The sequence below is a fragment of the Homo sapiens genome, chromosome 1, assembly GCF_000001405.40.
Source record: "Homo sapiens chromosome 1, GRCh38.p14 Primary Assembly".
NCBI classification, from domain to species: Eukaryota; Metazoa; Chordata; class Mammalia; order Primates; family Hominidae; genus Homo; species Homo sapiens.
The window spans coordinates 230,723,215-230,739,737 of record NC_000001.11 but is presented as its reverse complement, the minus strand read 5'-3'; the positions used below and the strand labels follow the sequence as shown (position 1 = coordinate 230,739,737).

Sequence of the window (16,523 nt, the reverse complement as noted above, 5' to 3'; positions counted from 1 at the left end):
CCTCTGGCTCTCTGGGATCTTCTTGGTTGAGGTGTCTCTGGGAACCAGCTTCTTTCCTTACGGTATTTGCTGTGGAGGGGTCACAGCTAGCATAACTTGTGTTTCATTTTCCTATCGGGGGCAATGCACCGTAATTACCCCGGAAGCTCAGCCTGGCTCCAACATTTCCCGTTAATGATGAGCCCTCCACCTGGTTTCTCTGTGCTTGCCGAACCTCAGAAACTCATTTGCTCTTCTCAGTGGTCCCCAGCTTTGGGCTCTCAGCTCTGCAGACTCTGCCACACCATCTCATGCCCTGCTCAGGGCAACACCCTGGTGGACAAGGTGACTCTTAATTCCCAGCCACCCCCCGCCCCATAGTGGAAATTGTGATTGGACATTTATTATTATTATTTTATTTTAGAGACACTGCTGGAGTGCAGTGGCATGATCATAGCTCACTGTGGCTTCCAACTCCTGGGCTCCAGCCATCCTTCTGCCTCAGCCTCCTGAGCAGCTGGGACTATAGTCATACCCAGCTAATTAAAAAAAAAAAAAAACCTGTAGAGGAGGGAGTCTCAGTATGTTGCCCACACTGGTCTTGAACTCCTAGCTTCAAATGATTCTCCTGCCTTGGCCTCCCAAAGTGCTGGGGTTACAGATGTGAGCCACTGCACCTGGCCTTATTATGTTTAATTGGAGGGAACATTGATAAAGTCTGTTACATAGTAGCAAGAGTATCCCTAACATGCCTTACCACTGAGAAATAAGATTCTTTGCTGCTGGAGGTGTGTGAAGTTTTTCTATAGCAGAAGGAGATGTAATTTTTTTAAAAGTCCTTTGACTACAGAGATTTTTATATTGTCTGTGTACAATATTACTGGGTTTATTAAAATAATTTAATTTAAAATATCTCATTTGATTTATCACCTACATCTACAGTTGTGTATTTAGTTATGGGACATACATCTAATTGAATTCCCATCTTTTTGTGGTAAAGGTTTATTTTCAGCATCTCTTTATGCATCTCATCCTTTCCCACTCTCCATTTTCTCTTTTTAATGCACCATTTTCTGATTCTTATAAATGACGTATCCTCCCCCTTTGGCAAGGTAGCATTAGCCAGCAAGCATACCTAATATTTGTGTGGATGGAAGGCTCAGGAAGAGAACTATTTGTCTCTTTCGAGCTTATGGCTTTCACAAAGTGTCATAGCAATTTTTATGACTCAACTTTCAAAAGAGATTTATTAGCTTGGGTCTCTAGGAAAAAATAATTTATAAGGCCACTGACAATCATAGCTGTGAAGACATAAAGTAACATGATAAGCACTTATTTTTATAGCACTTTTTACATATGAGACTACCATGGTATGAAGTTCAATTATGATGACTGATTTATAAACATCATTTCTTGTTTAACGTGGGTAATTTTTAAAAGTATGAACTGGTGAGAATGTCAAATGGTGCAGCCAATTTGGAAAAGTGTGACAGGTCCTCAAACAACTAGACATAGAGTTACTGTAGGAGCCAGCAGTTTCACTCCTGGGTATCTGTCAAGAGAACTGAAAACAGATGTCCACACAAAACTTATTCATGAATGCTTACAACAGCCTTATTCATAACAGCCAGAAGGTGCAAGCAACTAATTGTCCATCAGCTGATGAATGGATAAATAATGTGTGGTATATCCACGTAGTGGAACATTATTCAGCCATAAAAAGGAATGAAGTACTAATGCTACACCTTGGATGAACCTTGAAAACATTACGCTAACTGAAAGAAGCAAGTCACAAAGGACAACAGACTATGGAAATCTATGGAGACAGGAAGTCATTAGTGGTTGCTTAGGGCTGGGGATGGGGTGAAGTGGGAGGGGTGGGGGTGATGGCTAAAGGCTTTCTTTTTGAGATGATGAAATCTTCTAAAATTGACTGTGGTGGTGGTTGCACAACTCTAAATATGCTAAAAATCATTGAATTGTACACTTTAAATAGGTGAATTGTATGTACAGTATCTGAATTACATCTCAAAGCTATCTTAAAAAGATAAATAAGCTCTGTGCCTCATTTTGCCTCCTACAGTGTTTCGTAAAGTTGTAGTACTAAAAGGGAGATTTGATAGCAATAATGATAATAATAATAAACAGGCTGGGCGCAGTGGCTCAAGCCTGTAATCTCAGCACTTTGGGAGGCTGAGGCAGGTGGATCACCTCAGGTCAGGAGTTCAAGACCAGCCTGGCCAACATGGTAAAACCCCATCTCTACTAAAAATACAAAAATTAGCCAGGTGTGGTGGTGGGCACCTGTATTCTCAGCTACTCAGGAAGCTGGGGCCAGGGAATCGCTTGAACCTGGGAGGCAGAGGTTGCAGTGAGCTGAGATCACATCATGGCACTCCAGTCTTGGTGACAAAAGTGAAACTCCATCTCAAAATAATAATAATAATAATAAACAATTTCTAAGTATTATTCTTAGTAGTCACCTACGCATGGCACTTTGTGCAGATGACTCCTGCATGTGTCAGGGTTTTTCTTGCGGGCAATGCAGTCTGATCAGTATAAACTAGGCAGAGAGGTATTTGATGAAGGGTTTGGGGAACTCAGAAAATGGACTGGGAAGCTAAGAACCAGGCATGGAAATGAGCAAGAACTAGGGGAGATTGGGGAGCAGGAGCAGAAATGGTCTTGCACCAGGGTCAGAAATGCCTGTGGTTGAAAGTCAGCTGTCTTCAGCGTTCAAACCTCTGTGCTCCAGATTCCAGCTCCAGGGTGGTTGGCTTAGTGGGTACCTGCCTCTCAGCCCAAGGAGAACAGAGCTTTCGATTCACAGAGCTTCCGATTCACAGAATTTCCAGCCTCCACTCAAGAACAACAGGGATCCAGGTGCTGAAAAGGGATAGATGCCTCCCACAGACTCCAGGGAAGCATTCAGTTGTGACCACCTCTACCCTTTTAAGGGATCGAAGCCCAGCCTAGCAGGAAACTGAGCTTTGGGGCTTTGAAATTTTGCCCCAAAGTGCTGCTAGAAGAATTGGATTAGATAGGATACCACCATGTCACTGACTACTTAGGGGGAAAAGAAAGCTGAGGTAGTGAAAACATTTAATGAAATCCTGAACACCCAGAGTAACCTATTTCTTCCTTGCTCCGTTCCCATTTATATCTGAGAACTGTGTTCATGCCCCAGATGTTGCAAGAATACTGCGGAAACAAAAGTGTTCGAAATAATTCTTTTTTTTCGAGATGGAGTCTCGCTCTGTCACCCAGGCTGGAGTGCAGTGGAGTGATCTCAACTCACTGCAAGCTCTGCCTCCTGGGTTCACGCCATTCTCCTGCCTCAGCCTCCTGAGTAGCTGGGACTACAGGTGCCCGCCACCATGCCCGGCTTTTTGTATTTTTAGTAGAGATGGGGTTTCACCGTGTTAGCCAGGATGGTCTCAATCTCCCGACCTCATGATCTGCCCACCTCAGCCTCCCAAAGTGCTGGGATTACAGGTGTGAGCCACCGCGCCCAGCTGAAATAATTCTTATGCTCAGGATCAAAATGATAAGGGGTCAATTGTATTAAACACACACACACACACACACACACAAACTTTGCCTTAAACATAAATGTGTTTCAGAAGCTTGGAAGCAGAAAATAATTTTAGGAGCTGAGTATTATTAATCAGCCTATGTGTTTTCAACTGCACCAAGAAATATAGCAAAGATATGCAAACTCTTTGGATTTAAGACATCACCTTTGTGTTTTGACACTCTTTCCCAAACCCCGCCTAAATGACAGGTGGGACTGTTTTCTTTTAAACAGTAAAGGCAGGGTCCTGAGAAGACACTTGAATGGGGCAATTGGAGGAGTGTTTAATCGATGAACTATTTACAAAGATGTGGGCAGGAAGACCATGATAGACTGAGCAGTTGGGGGGCTGGAAGCAGCAGGGTACCCCTAGAATCTACAGCTCTGAGGGGGTGAAGGAGAAGCAGTTTCAGGAAGGAGGGCGGGATGGGAGCTGATGGGGGAGGATGCAGTCACCTGAGGCCAACCTAAGGGGAAGGAGAAGCTGTGGAGTGGAAGCCAGGGAAGGAAGGGAGCCCTGTGACACCATCTGTGTAATCAGCCTCCCAGGAGGTGGAGCAGGGTGACAAGTGCACTCCGAGGGAGGGGCCACCAGGTGAGTCAGCCCAGGGCCCAGCTGCTAAGACCAGGGGCAGGCCTCCTCCAAGTGGGGTTGGGCAGGGGGGCAAAGGAGAACAAAAAAGCCACTTTACCTACTTCTGTATTGAGTTTTTAAAAAAGACTGTATTAATTTACATTGTAATTTTAAAATAAAAATGTAAAAATATTAAACATGACTCGGAAATCATTGAGTTTGAGGATCTCATGAGAAGTTGATGACCCTTCTTGAGGTAACTAACGACACTTTGGAAGGTGAAACCAGGTTGCTCGCCCACTCTAAGAAGGAGCGAGAAGGAAGAAGGAGAAACAGCACTGTGCCCCCTTCTCCCGCTGCAGTCGGGGCGAGATTTCCATGCTCTGGGAGGTAGTGGAAGGAAGCGTTCAGTGAGGCCCTTAAAGACAATGGCCCTGCCAGCCAGTTGTGATGTTGACAATGTTCTCCTGCAGGAGGGCGGGAGGCCTATAAAGTACCAAGCGCAGTCCTCCATGAGCAACGGGGAGGCGATGAGCGACCCTCTCCTCCAGGGATAGACACAGACCCTCTCCTCCAGGGATAAACACAGCCAGTTATGGCCGGGCGCGATGGCTCACATCTGTAATCCCAGCACTTTGGGAGGCCAAGGTGGGCAGATCACGAGGTCAGGAGATCGAGACCATCCTGGCCAACATGGTGAAACCCTGTCTCTACTAAACATACAAAAAAAAAAGTTAGCCAGGCGTGGTGGCAGGCGCCTGTAGTCCCAGCTACTTGGGAGGCTGAGGCAGGAGAGTGGCATGAACCCGGGAGGTGGAGCTTGCAGTGAGCCGAGATTGCACCACTGCACTCCAGCCTGGGCGACAGAGCGAGACTCCATCTCAAAAAAAAGAAAAACAAAAAAACCAGCCAGTTATATTTACCAGCTATTAATTAAATTTTTCACTGGAAGCAGTCTTGCCTTGTACATAGGGATGAAACACACACACACACACACACATACACACACCATATATATATTTATAAATGCATATATAAAAATTATGGTAAAATACATGTAACATAAAATTTACAACCTTAACCATTTCTAAGTGCTCAGTTCATTGGCATCAAGTATATTTGCATTGTTGTGGACTCATCACACCATCCATCTCCACAATTCTTTTTATCTTCCCCAACTGAAATTCTGTGCCCATTAAGCAAAATCTCCCCATTCTCCCCTCCCCCAGCCCCTGGAAACCACCATTCTATTTTCCGTCTCTATGAATCTGACTATTCTAAGAACCTCGTAAAAGTGGAATCATATAGCATTTGTCTTGTTGTGACTGGTTTATGTTACTTAGCATAATGTCTTCAAGGTCCATCCATGATGTAGCATATGTCAGAATGTCCTTTCTATTTTGCTTGAATAATATTCCATCGTATGGATATGTCATATTTTGTCTTTCTATTTATCTGTTGGTGGACACTTGAGTTGCATTCACCTTTTGTAAATATAACACATACACAATGACACACAAACTCCAGTATGTGCCAGGGACCCGCACTTGTTAAAGGGTCATCTATAAAAGAGAAAGAGAAAATACATGTGCCAACCTAAGTGAGAAGATGAGAAGCTTCAAGAAGCTTGAGTTGGGCTTCTGTGCATCACAAAGGTGGAGCCTGGACTGTCATCTGGGCCCGGCCTCTTGGGTAGTGGTCCCTGAATGACTGGCAGAACAAGAACATGAAATGGTCTCCACGCAGAAGACAGCCACGTGGAAGTGGCTGACTGGTAGACCAGCTGAGATGAAGACTACTCCAGTCTTCACAGCGGTGCTCAAATGGCCCCATCAAATCAAATGTAATGACCAGGCAGAGACTAGGGTGAAAACAGTTGTGGAAATCCATTTGTATGTCTCCTGTAATATATGATTGGATTAGCTCATCCCAACTCAATGAACTTCATTGCCAAGTTCTCCAGAGGAAAAGTCTGTCCTTCTAGTGCCTTCTGTTTTCACACAATAAGCAAGGATGACATTTTGGCGTGACTTGTTAAATTGTAGCAAATGAGACAACTGTCAGGGTGTAGACAAAGGCAAACAAATCACTTAGTGATTTGTCGAGTGAAAATCGACCTCAACTAAAGGCGCTCACTGGAGTCTCCTTGTGGCATTTCTCATGGGCACTTGCTTTCATAAGCATCGCCCTTTGATGTTATTTTGCTAGGAGAATGTGGAAAAGTGTATTTGGAAACACTGAGTTTCAGAGCTGATAGTAATGCTGTATCATTTCAATCAGAAAGGAATTTTGCAAAAAGGAACTGACTTTTTTGTTTGTTTGTTTTTGAGACGGAGTTTAGATCTTGTTGCCCACGCTGGAGTGCAATGGCGCAATCTCGGCTCACTGCAACCTCTGCCTCCCAGGTTTAAGTGATTCTCCTGCCTCAGCCTCCTGAGTAGCTGGGATTACAGGCATGCGCCACCATGCCTGGCTAATTTTTTGTATCTTTAGTAGAGATGAGGTTTCTCCATGTTGGTTGGGCTGATCTTGAACGCCCGACCTCAGATGATCCACCTGCCTTGGCCTCCCAAAGTGCTGGGATTACAGGTGTGAGCCACCGAGACCAGCAGGGACTGACTTTTAACAGATCAGTTATTTAAGCTTGTCCTCTGTGCCTGGGATGGTTTTAGGTACCTGTCTGCATTCACTGTGTTAATACAGTATAGTCCTCAAATACCGTTGGTCCTTGAACAACACAGATCTGAACTATGTGGGGCCACTTCTTGGATTTTCTTCCACCTCTGCCACCCTTGAGACAGCAAGACCAATTCCTTCTCTTCCTCCTAAGCCTACTCAACCTGAAGATGATAAGAATGAAGGCCTTGATGATGATCCACTTCCATTTAATGGAGAGTAAATATGTTTTCTCTTTGTTACGATTTTCTTAGTAACATTTTATTTTCTGTAGCTTACTTTGTGCACAGTATATAATATACACAGTATTTAATACCTACGACATAAAAATATGTGTTAATCAACATTAGATTATCAGTAAAGTTTCTGATCAACAGTGGGCTATTAGGAGTTGAGTTTGGGGAGAGTCAAAAGTTATTCTTGCATTTTCAACTGCGAAGGAAGTCAGTGCCTCTAACCCCAGTGCTGTTCAAGGATCAACTGTAGTTCACCAAGAAAGCTGGGGTTGATCCCATTCCAGCCCTACCCTGCTCTTGGTGGGCACAGAGAGTTGTGAGACCTACCTCTGGCCAGACACTGTTCTATGTGTGGAAATATTGCAATGAAGAAGATCAACCCTCCAAATGCTCACTGTGGCCAGGCTCGGTGGCTCATGCGTATCATTCCAACTCTTTGGGAGGCCATGGTGGAATGATTGCTTGAGGCCCAGAATTTGAGACCAGCCTGAGCAATATAGCAAAACTCTGTCTCTACAAACAAACAAATAAACAAACAAACAACAAAAAATAATGCTTTCTGTACATAAACCAGCACATAAGTAATATAATTTCATGGGATGATAGTCACTATAGAGAAGATAGGGGTGGTGCAGTGGAATAAGGTGAGATAGGGTTGGTGGGCAGGGCTCTTCTCTGGGGGTCATCAGACGGGTGAAATTTGAGCTGAGATATGAGTGATGAGGAGCCGCTGCACAAAGATGCTGGATAGAGGGAACAGCAAGATTTGTGCCTTAGGAAGCTTTGAGTTTCTGTGGGTTTTGTTGTTGTTGTTGTTGTTATTATTTTTTTTGAGATGGAGTCTCACTCTGTCACCCAGTTTAGAGTGCAGTGGCATGATCTTGGTTCGTTGCAACCTCCGCCTCCCAGGCTCAAGAGATTCTCCTTCCTCAGCCTCCTGAGTAACTGGGATTACAGGTGTGTGCCACCATGCCTGGCTAATTTTTTGTATTTTTAGTAGAGACGGGGTTTCACCATGTTGGCCAGACTGGTCTTGAGCTCCTAACCTCAAGTGATCCACCCACCTTGGCCTCCCAAAGTGTTGGGATTACAGACGTGAGCCATCGTGTCTGGCCAAGTTTCTGTGTTAATGGACACAGAAGAAGTCAGCACAGCTGGAAGGCAGAGGACAAGGAGGTGCATGGTCCAAGGCTGTAGAGAGAAGGGCAGCAGCCAGGTCGTGTAAGTGACTGCACACGGCAAGGATTCAGGAGTTTCCTCTCATTGCAATGGGCAGCCTTGGGGAGTTTTCCTCTGGGAGGAAATCTCATGGATTTATACTGAAGAAATAACTGGCTATGTGCTGTGTGATAACAGATGGAAGGGGGCTGGAGGGGAAGCAGAGAATCGGGTTGGGAGGCCTGTGGGACCGCTAGAAGCCACCCCTGCACTAGGTAAACAGTGTGGACCTGAAAGGGACAGGCTGAAGCACGAAGTGTGATTTACAAATATTACTCGAGCCAGAATAAAGACAGCTGCCTGGAAGCCTCAGACACAAGTGACCTTGGATATGAACTCCATTTGGCTTTCGTCACAAGGTTTTTAAAGGAACAAAAAGGGAGGAGTCAGGGAGTGGCCTGATACAAAGTTCTGTCAGGAGTTCTCATTGGTTTCCAGAAATAACATTGATTAGTGATAGGCTATACATTATTAAGCTATAGGGTGTGGTTTACAGTGTCCAGTGAGGCATTATTAGGTTAATTCATAACTACTCTTGGCAATAGCAAGCAGTTTCAGTGGATGAATACATAGCTCAAAAGGGGCATGTAGGATGCGATTGATGTCTAATTTTAATGCCTATCTGGGCCTAATAATTTGAAAAGGCTCACATCCCTCAGATAAAAGTTATTTTCTTTCTTCAACAGCTGTGGGCACTGTTGGAGAAGTATAATGGAAAACAAAATCTCCCAACCCAGAAATCCTCTCTACAAAGGTAGCAAAGAAAGAAAACACTCTCATTATTGAGAAAAACATTAAACCAGAAAGTGTTACACACCACAAGCAATCTGCTAAGAGACAGCCAAGACAGAAAGGAAGCTCACCTGCTTATGGAGCCAAGCAGACACAGCTCGTTCCACACACGTTTTCAAGACGGACAGTAACTGTTACCAACTGAGTCAGCTTTTCCCCTAAAGATGGTATCGTGAAGCCAATACATGAAACCCAAAGCGAGCCTCAAGCAGTGCGGACTTTATTCAATGGCCAAAGAATGGAGAAGCAGGAGCATGGCCGCAAGTCAACTTCTTGTCTAGTGAGAGGTGAGGGGGTTAAAATATAGGGTATCCTGGCTGGGTACCCTGCCTCACGCCTGAAATCCCAGCAGTTTGGGAAGCCGAGGTGGACGGATCACTTGAGATCAGGAGTTTGAGGCTAGCCTGGCCAACATGGCAAAAACCCATCTCTACTAAAAATATAAAAAACAAAACAAAACAAAAAAATAGCCGGGCATGGTAGCTCACACCTGTAATCCCAGCACTGTGGGAGGCTGAGGCAGGTGGATCACCTGAGGTCAGGAGTTTGAGAACAGCCTGGCCAACAAGGTGAAACCCTGTCTCTACTAAAAATACAAAAATTAGCCGGGCGGATCACAAGGTCAGGAGCCTCCTGAGTAGCTGGGACTATAGGCGTGCACCACCACGCCTGGCTAATCTTTTGTATTTTTAGTAGAGATGGGTTTTCACCGTGTTAGCCAGGATGGTTTCGATCTCCTGACCTCGTGATCCACCTGCCTCGGCCTCCCAAAGTGCTGGGATTACAGGCGTGAGCCACCGTGCCCAGGCCGCCTTCCTGTTTCTTAAAGATAAGATAGAGAAGACAGGTTAGAGAAGAGTAGAAATTCAGCTATGTCATGTAGGCATTACACTGGGTGACATAAGTAGTAAGAGAACTTGACAACACTACTTGTCACACACAGCTCATTCTAACTTTACCTGGCAACTGAGGTGACCATCTGTATTAGCTAATGGGCTTTATCTAGAGAAAAACAAGCTTCTTACATCTTTGTGACAGGAGGCAGTTTTGCAGCTTGGAGGCATGTGCCCACTGAAGGCAGGCTGTCACCCTCCCACAGACACTGGGAGCTGGGGCCACTGTCTCTCCCTTGATGTTTGCCTTTCAAGGAGATGGCTCCCGGGTCCTTGAGAAACACATGCCTGGGTAATCAAGCTGACAAAAGTCCTCTCTGATCTTCACAAAAATGTTATATACATTTGAAAGAGAGGAGAAAGTGCTTATAATTACAAGTTTTCTAAGGTAAATGCTCTGAGAATAAGAGAGGGAGGGAAACCTCTTCCCCCATTTTCAACCGGGAGAATTAAGCCTCTTGTTTTTAAGTTGCATTTGTCCTTACAGTGGCTACTAGGTGTTGGGAACACTGCCCGGGAGCTAGGAAGAGCAATTAGGGCTGGAGGCTGTTTGGCGCCAACAGGCTGTTGCTGAGTGCGGATGAAAGTCCAGAGAGAGAGTGGAAGGTGGGGGTCAAAGGGCATGGTGGTGCCCTGCATGGCAGATGGTGGAGAAACTGCACCAGGCAGGTGCCTCAGGCTTTCTGGGTCAGGGGAGAGGGTCAGGTGGCCTTTGAAGTTCTGTTTGCTGTTAGCCTGACTGAGTTAACTGCATGGGTACCTGACTGTCTTTGCTCAGTCTCCTAGTGGACAACCACATTTCCGGAAGGCTTTTCACGAGTGATATAGCAACTAATGCTCTCCCAGGGCTCACTGCCTGGCAGGCTCTGCTCCAAATGCTTTCATATGTTAACTAATTCAATCCTCACTATGAGGATTCTCTACTCCCATGAGACAGGGATTGCAGGGAGTATAAGGTTGTGTTGGATGTGTTTCCTGGCATTAGTAAAAGAGGATGTGAGGCAAGAGCAAAACTAATGCATGTGCTGAAAGAGCTATGGTGCAAAGAGTACACACAAACCTTTTCTCCCCTTCTCTGTATGCTGCTGTGGACACTGTTACAAAGCATGAAAATGAGGCCGTAGATGCAAAAGCTTAAAAGGGTGACCCATACCTCAAAAGTTCTCAGTAAGTGGCAGCATTTTATTATCGTGGCTATCATTTTGCCAGTTATATCTTAACAGGTATAAATATTGAAACCTCCTTAGCGAAAATTATAACGGTGAGCAAATTATGACAGCGGAGGAGATCTGACCTAACCATCTCCTTCTTGCCTTTTAACCTCTAAACTGTCCTGGGTCATTTTGGGGCATGGGTCAAGCTAACTTTAGGAGAAATTTAGTTTATAGTTTAAATGATGATAGACCTTCCCAAAACTAAGTCATCTTTGTAAAACTAATGAAAGGCCACCAGGTCAAAAGAATGAGAGGGGCCTGAATTCTGCTGAGATGTAGACATAGTTAAGCAATCACCAGCCGTTATTCTGGAGGTCATGAAATTTGCAACTTTCTCAATTACTCCTATAATTAACATCACTACTCTAGACCCTAAAATTGGCCTTTTCAGATTCCTTTTCAGACTTTTGTATTTCTGAAACCAGGTGACTTTACCTGGACCCACGACCCCTACCTGTGGTCCCTGACCTAGAAGCAGGCTCAGCATATGAGGACCATTTTTTCCACACCCCTATGATTGCATCTCCAACCAATCAGCAGCATCTGTTCTCTAGCCACCTGCCTACCAAACTATCTTTTAAAAACCCCTGCCTTCATATTTTTGAGGAGGCTGATCTGAGTAATAATAAAACTCTGGTGTCCTGTTCAGGTGGCTCTATGTGTATAAAACTCTTTCTCTATTGCAACTCCCCTGTCTTGATAAATCAGCTCTATCTGGGCAGTGGGGAAGATGAGCTAATTGGGTGGTTACAATATTACCTCTTCAATGTGACTGAGGTTCTTGAAGGCAGGAAATTGTCATATAATTTATGTCTCCCATGTCAGTACCTTATATAGGGTAGGTATCAATAATTACTCATAAAAGATGAGAATTATTGGTTCCCTAGAAGTCATTTTCCCATTCTAGGCATGGTGCCTTTTAGGGGACATAACTCTGACTGAACTTTATATGTCCTCCTTAGTTAGTTACTTAGGGTCTTGATTTCTTCTGGAGGCTGTATTTGTCATTTAAATTTTGCTAGATATTATGCATATTACTTAAGTTTTCACACTTAATGGCATAAATCTGTCCCTAGTATTCCCTCTCAATTTTCTAATCTCCTCTGTAACTGCAGTCTATTTATATGTCCTCAGTAAATATTTGTTGAGTCTGATAGTTTTTGGTTATGATCATGGACTAGTGCAGTGAGGGCAGTTGGATATTTTCCTCCTGGGAGGACATCTGGGATTCACAATCTGGATGTTTGGTATCATGAGACAATCTCCCTGCCCTGGCTTGGGGGGCCACCCATGGGTTAAGGCATAAGTAACAATTCCTGACAAGAGTGGGGTCATTAATGTCTGGAGCAGGAAGCTGAGGGGAGTTGTGTTTTTCTCTTGCCTCAACATTGTAGGAGGAGAGAGAATCCTTTCTAGGCATCAGGGTCATCCCTGAGCACTCCTGGTGTGATTTTAGGGTTCTCCAAGGCCCACTGTGGTTCTAATTTCCTGCCACCATCCCTGAACATCCCACCATTCATATCCTCAGTGTAGAAAACAGAGATGGTAACTTTGACTCCAGAAGGTCACCATTCACATGACCACTTAGGAGAAAAGGAGAAGGGAGAACTTCCAGTATTTTATCCAAATTCTTTATTCGTCACTCAGCTAGCCCAGACGTCTTCTTAGGAAGCATTGGAAGATATGAGAGAGTGGTGTGGGGTGGGAAGCAAATGGTTGGGGAGACATAGCATCTGGCTTTTTTGGGAAGCCCTGCTGGGTTTAGACAAATCTGCAGACAGGAGGAAGAATGAGATGAATGGCACTTAAGTGTTATTCCTCTCCAGATCATGATTCTCCCAGTTTGAATTAAGACTCTTCTCTGAGTTTTGGAGGAGAGATGCTTGGAAAGGATGATTGAAGAGATTCATTCACCCATTAGACTCCCTACTATTGATTAAGGATGTAATGAAGTGATATAAGTCATCCAATAAGCTATGCTTACTATGTTTTTTTTTAAACATAGTAAATGCAAGCCAAATAGAGCCCTCTCCCACCTTAGCCAGTAGAGTGACATCTTAGGATCTTAGGTGAAGTCTTTTTTTTTTGGTTCTTTTAGTTTTTAAATTTGGAGGATTAGGATGACAAAAATGACACCTATGGGTGAAGGGGTATGGAAGGACTGGAATGACATTCAGACTTTTTTTTCAGTAGGTTTGCTGGTTTAAAAACTGTATCTGAGGACAAAATGCTTGGATTCAAATCTTGGCTCCCTAACTAACTGAGATCTGTCTTCTCTGTTCTTTGTCATCTTCATCAATAAAATGGGGGAAAATAACACTGTCTATGTCTTAGGGAGAATAAGATGGAACATTGCATATAAAGTGTCTAACACAAGTCCTGGCACATAGTCATCAATAACTTGTTTATTATTGTGCTTGTTAAATTCCATTCACCTGGAAGATCCAGGGATCCATTCAAAGTTGGCTCTGGCTGCCGTGATGCCAAGTGAAGTCATTCCAATTTTGCAGTCTAAATAGCACACACTGCCTTGTCCCTAAGAGAAATACCAGCCCCAGACATTGTGAATTGATCATTTCCACTGAACCATTTATAAGGCAGAGTTGATCCTTATCATTAAGGTGAGCAAAGCAGTTGTTGTGGGCACTTCTCTTCATGATGATGTTCAGTCATTTAGGTCTCTGTGGAATGGCTGGCAGGAGGCCCTAATGGTGACAGAAATCCCAGTGACTACTGTCCTACTGGCTCTGGTTGGGAGCCTTTCCTAGCAGTCCTACCATGACTGGCCTCTTGGATCCACTCTGAATTCTTCTACTTCTCTTTGCAGTAGAAAGGCATTAACTGATATTTCTCTTTCCAAATTTCTTTGCAATGTTTTCTGTAGAAGAACTGAACATTAAATAAATATTATTTCTAGAACTCAGTTTTCGCAAAAGATAGCATTTCAGTCCCACAAGAGCAATATTTATATCATTGCAACTATGGGGCTTCGGTGGGAAAAGGATGACAATATTTTTCCATTTGGATAGCTGTTTCTTATCTAAACTTATTAAATGGTGAGCAGAACTCTTCATTGTAGACTTTTCCCAACCCTGAGTGCCAAAGCAAACACACAAAGTTCGGACCACTGACATGTTGCTGCAGTAGTATAAGGGCAAATAAGTCTGAATGGAGATAACAGACTTGGAAACGGTACTTTGTGTCTCTACTTTCATGGTCCTTCCCTCTACTGACATGGAAATAGCACCCTAGGCCTGCCCGGGGCCATCCCTGAACTAGGGATGCATCCCCCGTCAAAACAAACTGAGGACATTGGATAATTCACATTTTACATAACAGTATTTTACTCAGATTTATGTGGCTGCTGATGAATTTTCATCAAAAAAGTATTTTCTGGAATAAAATCCATTAAACCAATTTAATCCCTTAATCAATTTTTATGTAGTGTAGTTAAATCATTTTTATTTTTCTAAAAGTTAATGAAACATTTTCTATTTTTATTTCTGAAAAGTAATTTTCATCAGGATAGATTCTTTTCCATTTAAAGCTTATAATAAAGAGCTAATTAATCAATTGATTTTTGTCCCCATCAGATTTTCCTGAGTATAGCTTCTGCTACTGTGAGTTTTCTTTTATGGCCAGATCCAAAGTTTCCTTTTGTTTTATTTTTCCCCTGCTGTAGTCAAGTCCAATGTCTCAGGCTCAAATTCTGCACATCTAAATTTTGCCAGCAATATTCTGTTTGTTTGTTTGTTTGTGACAATGTCTTACTCTGTTACCCGGACTGAAGTATAGTGGCATGATCATGGCTCACTGCAGCTTTGACCTCCTGGGCTCAGGTGATCTTCCCACCCCAGCCTCCTGAGGAAGCTGGGACTACAGGCACGTGCCACCAAACCTAGATAATTCTTTGTATTTTTTGTATAGATGGGGTTTTGCCATGTTGCTGAAGCTGGTCTCAAACTCCTGGGCTCAAGTGTTTCACCCACCTCAGCCTCCCAAAGTGCTGGTATTACAGGTGTGAGCCACTGTGCCTAGCCAGCAATATTCTTTTTAATCAGTTTTCGATTGGTGAAAAAGTGACTATTTCTACCTATAATATTCATTATGGATTGGATAAAACATATTGTCTAATTATTTTGGTGTCATTATATTCAGAATTCCCAGTATAGTCATCCCTTCATACAGGAATGGAATAATAAAATTATACATTAAATAAGTGTTGTAAATACAGTAGATGTTTCTAAAGCTAATTTTTAAATGAAAGGACAATATATAAGTCTATAGCTAACTCCTCTGTCATGCACAATCTGAGTTAACAGAATAGATTAGGGGTTAGCAAGCTTTTTCTATAAAGGGCCATGTAATAAATATTTCAGGCTTTGCAGTTCATATGTTCTCTGTTGCAACAACTCAACTGTGCTGTTGTAGCACAAAAGCATCCTGGACTATTCATAAACTAATGAGCATGGCTGTGTTGCAATAAAACTTGTTTACACAAACAGATGGTGGTCCAGCCCAGATTTGGCCCATGGGCTGTAGTTTGCCAATCCTTGGAACAGATAAATGTTCATGCTATTATTTGTTTAGTAAGAGTATTCTTTAGTTGCCAGGTTGACCATGAACTACCATAAATAGAGAGCTCCTGGAATGTACATTGGAAAAGTTTTTCTTTTTGTCCAGTTTTTCAGGATCACAGCTGTTATACAAAGCTCTGTGTACCAACAATGCATATATCACCAGGCTCATATACAATTTTCTTAGAGGAGCTCAATACCCTGTGGACTTAAATTAAGAACCATAAAACTGCTTGAGAGTGGACAAAGAGAAGATAACCATTTTTCCTATCTTACTGAAAATAGAAGCAGAACAATCACTCGGACTCACATCATAGGACTAATTATGGATGGAGCATATTAGATGATAAAATAAAAACTAACAGGAAAGGAAAGCATGACACTAGCTTTGGTATTCAGTCATGGCTTAGAGTTACTAGCCTCATCTGGGTATAGCAGACAAGCTCTGGCCTTAGGAAAATATTATACTCTACACTTTGATGACTCCCCTAAAAACAAAACAACTAAAACAATTGTAAAAAGCAAAGCCTATTACAAAGAGGGAGCCAAAATTCAACATGAAATATACTGTGCTTAATAGAATTGAATTCTTGAATAATGTTCTTCTGGCCTCCAAGTGAGAATAAAGGTTGTGCTATTTAAGAATGTTTTTCAGCTGCACATAACTGCCTGTATTAGTCCATTTTCACACTGCTCTAAATAAATACCTGAGACTTGGTAATTTATAAGGGAAAGAGGTTTAATTGGCTCACAGTTCTGCATGGCTGGGGAGGCCTCAGGAAACTTACAA

At 43.1% G+C, this 16,523-nt stretch overlaps 1 protein-coding gene across 1 annotated transcript in view, besides 1 other annotated feature; it reads left to right on the top strand.

Moving 5' to 3' along the window:
- The window catches only part of AGT (angiotensinogen), a 43,061-nt gene that overhangs the window by 5,846 nt on the left and 20,692 nt on the right, over positions 1–16,523 (top strand). The window lies entirely within an intron of this gene.
- Positions 14,101–14,395: a silencer, noted in NCBI's record as "tiled region #2465; K562 Repressive non-DNase unmatched - State 22:ReprW". NCBI's record gives its function as "represses a minimal TATA promoter and a strong SV40 promoter by Sharpr-MPRA in K562 cells {active_cell/tissue: K562}" and the evidence as "EXISTENCE:reporter gene assay evidence [ECO:0000049][PMID:27701403]".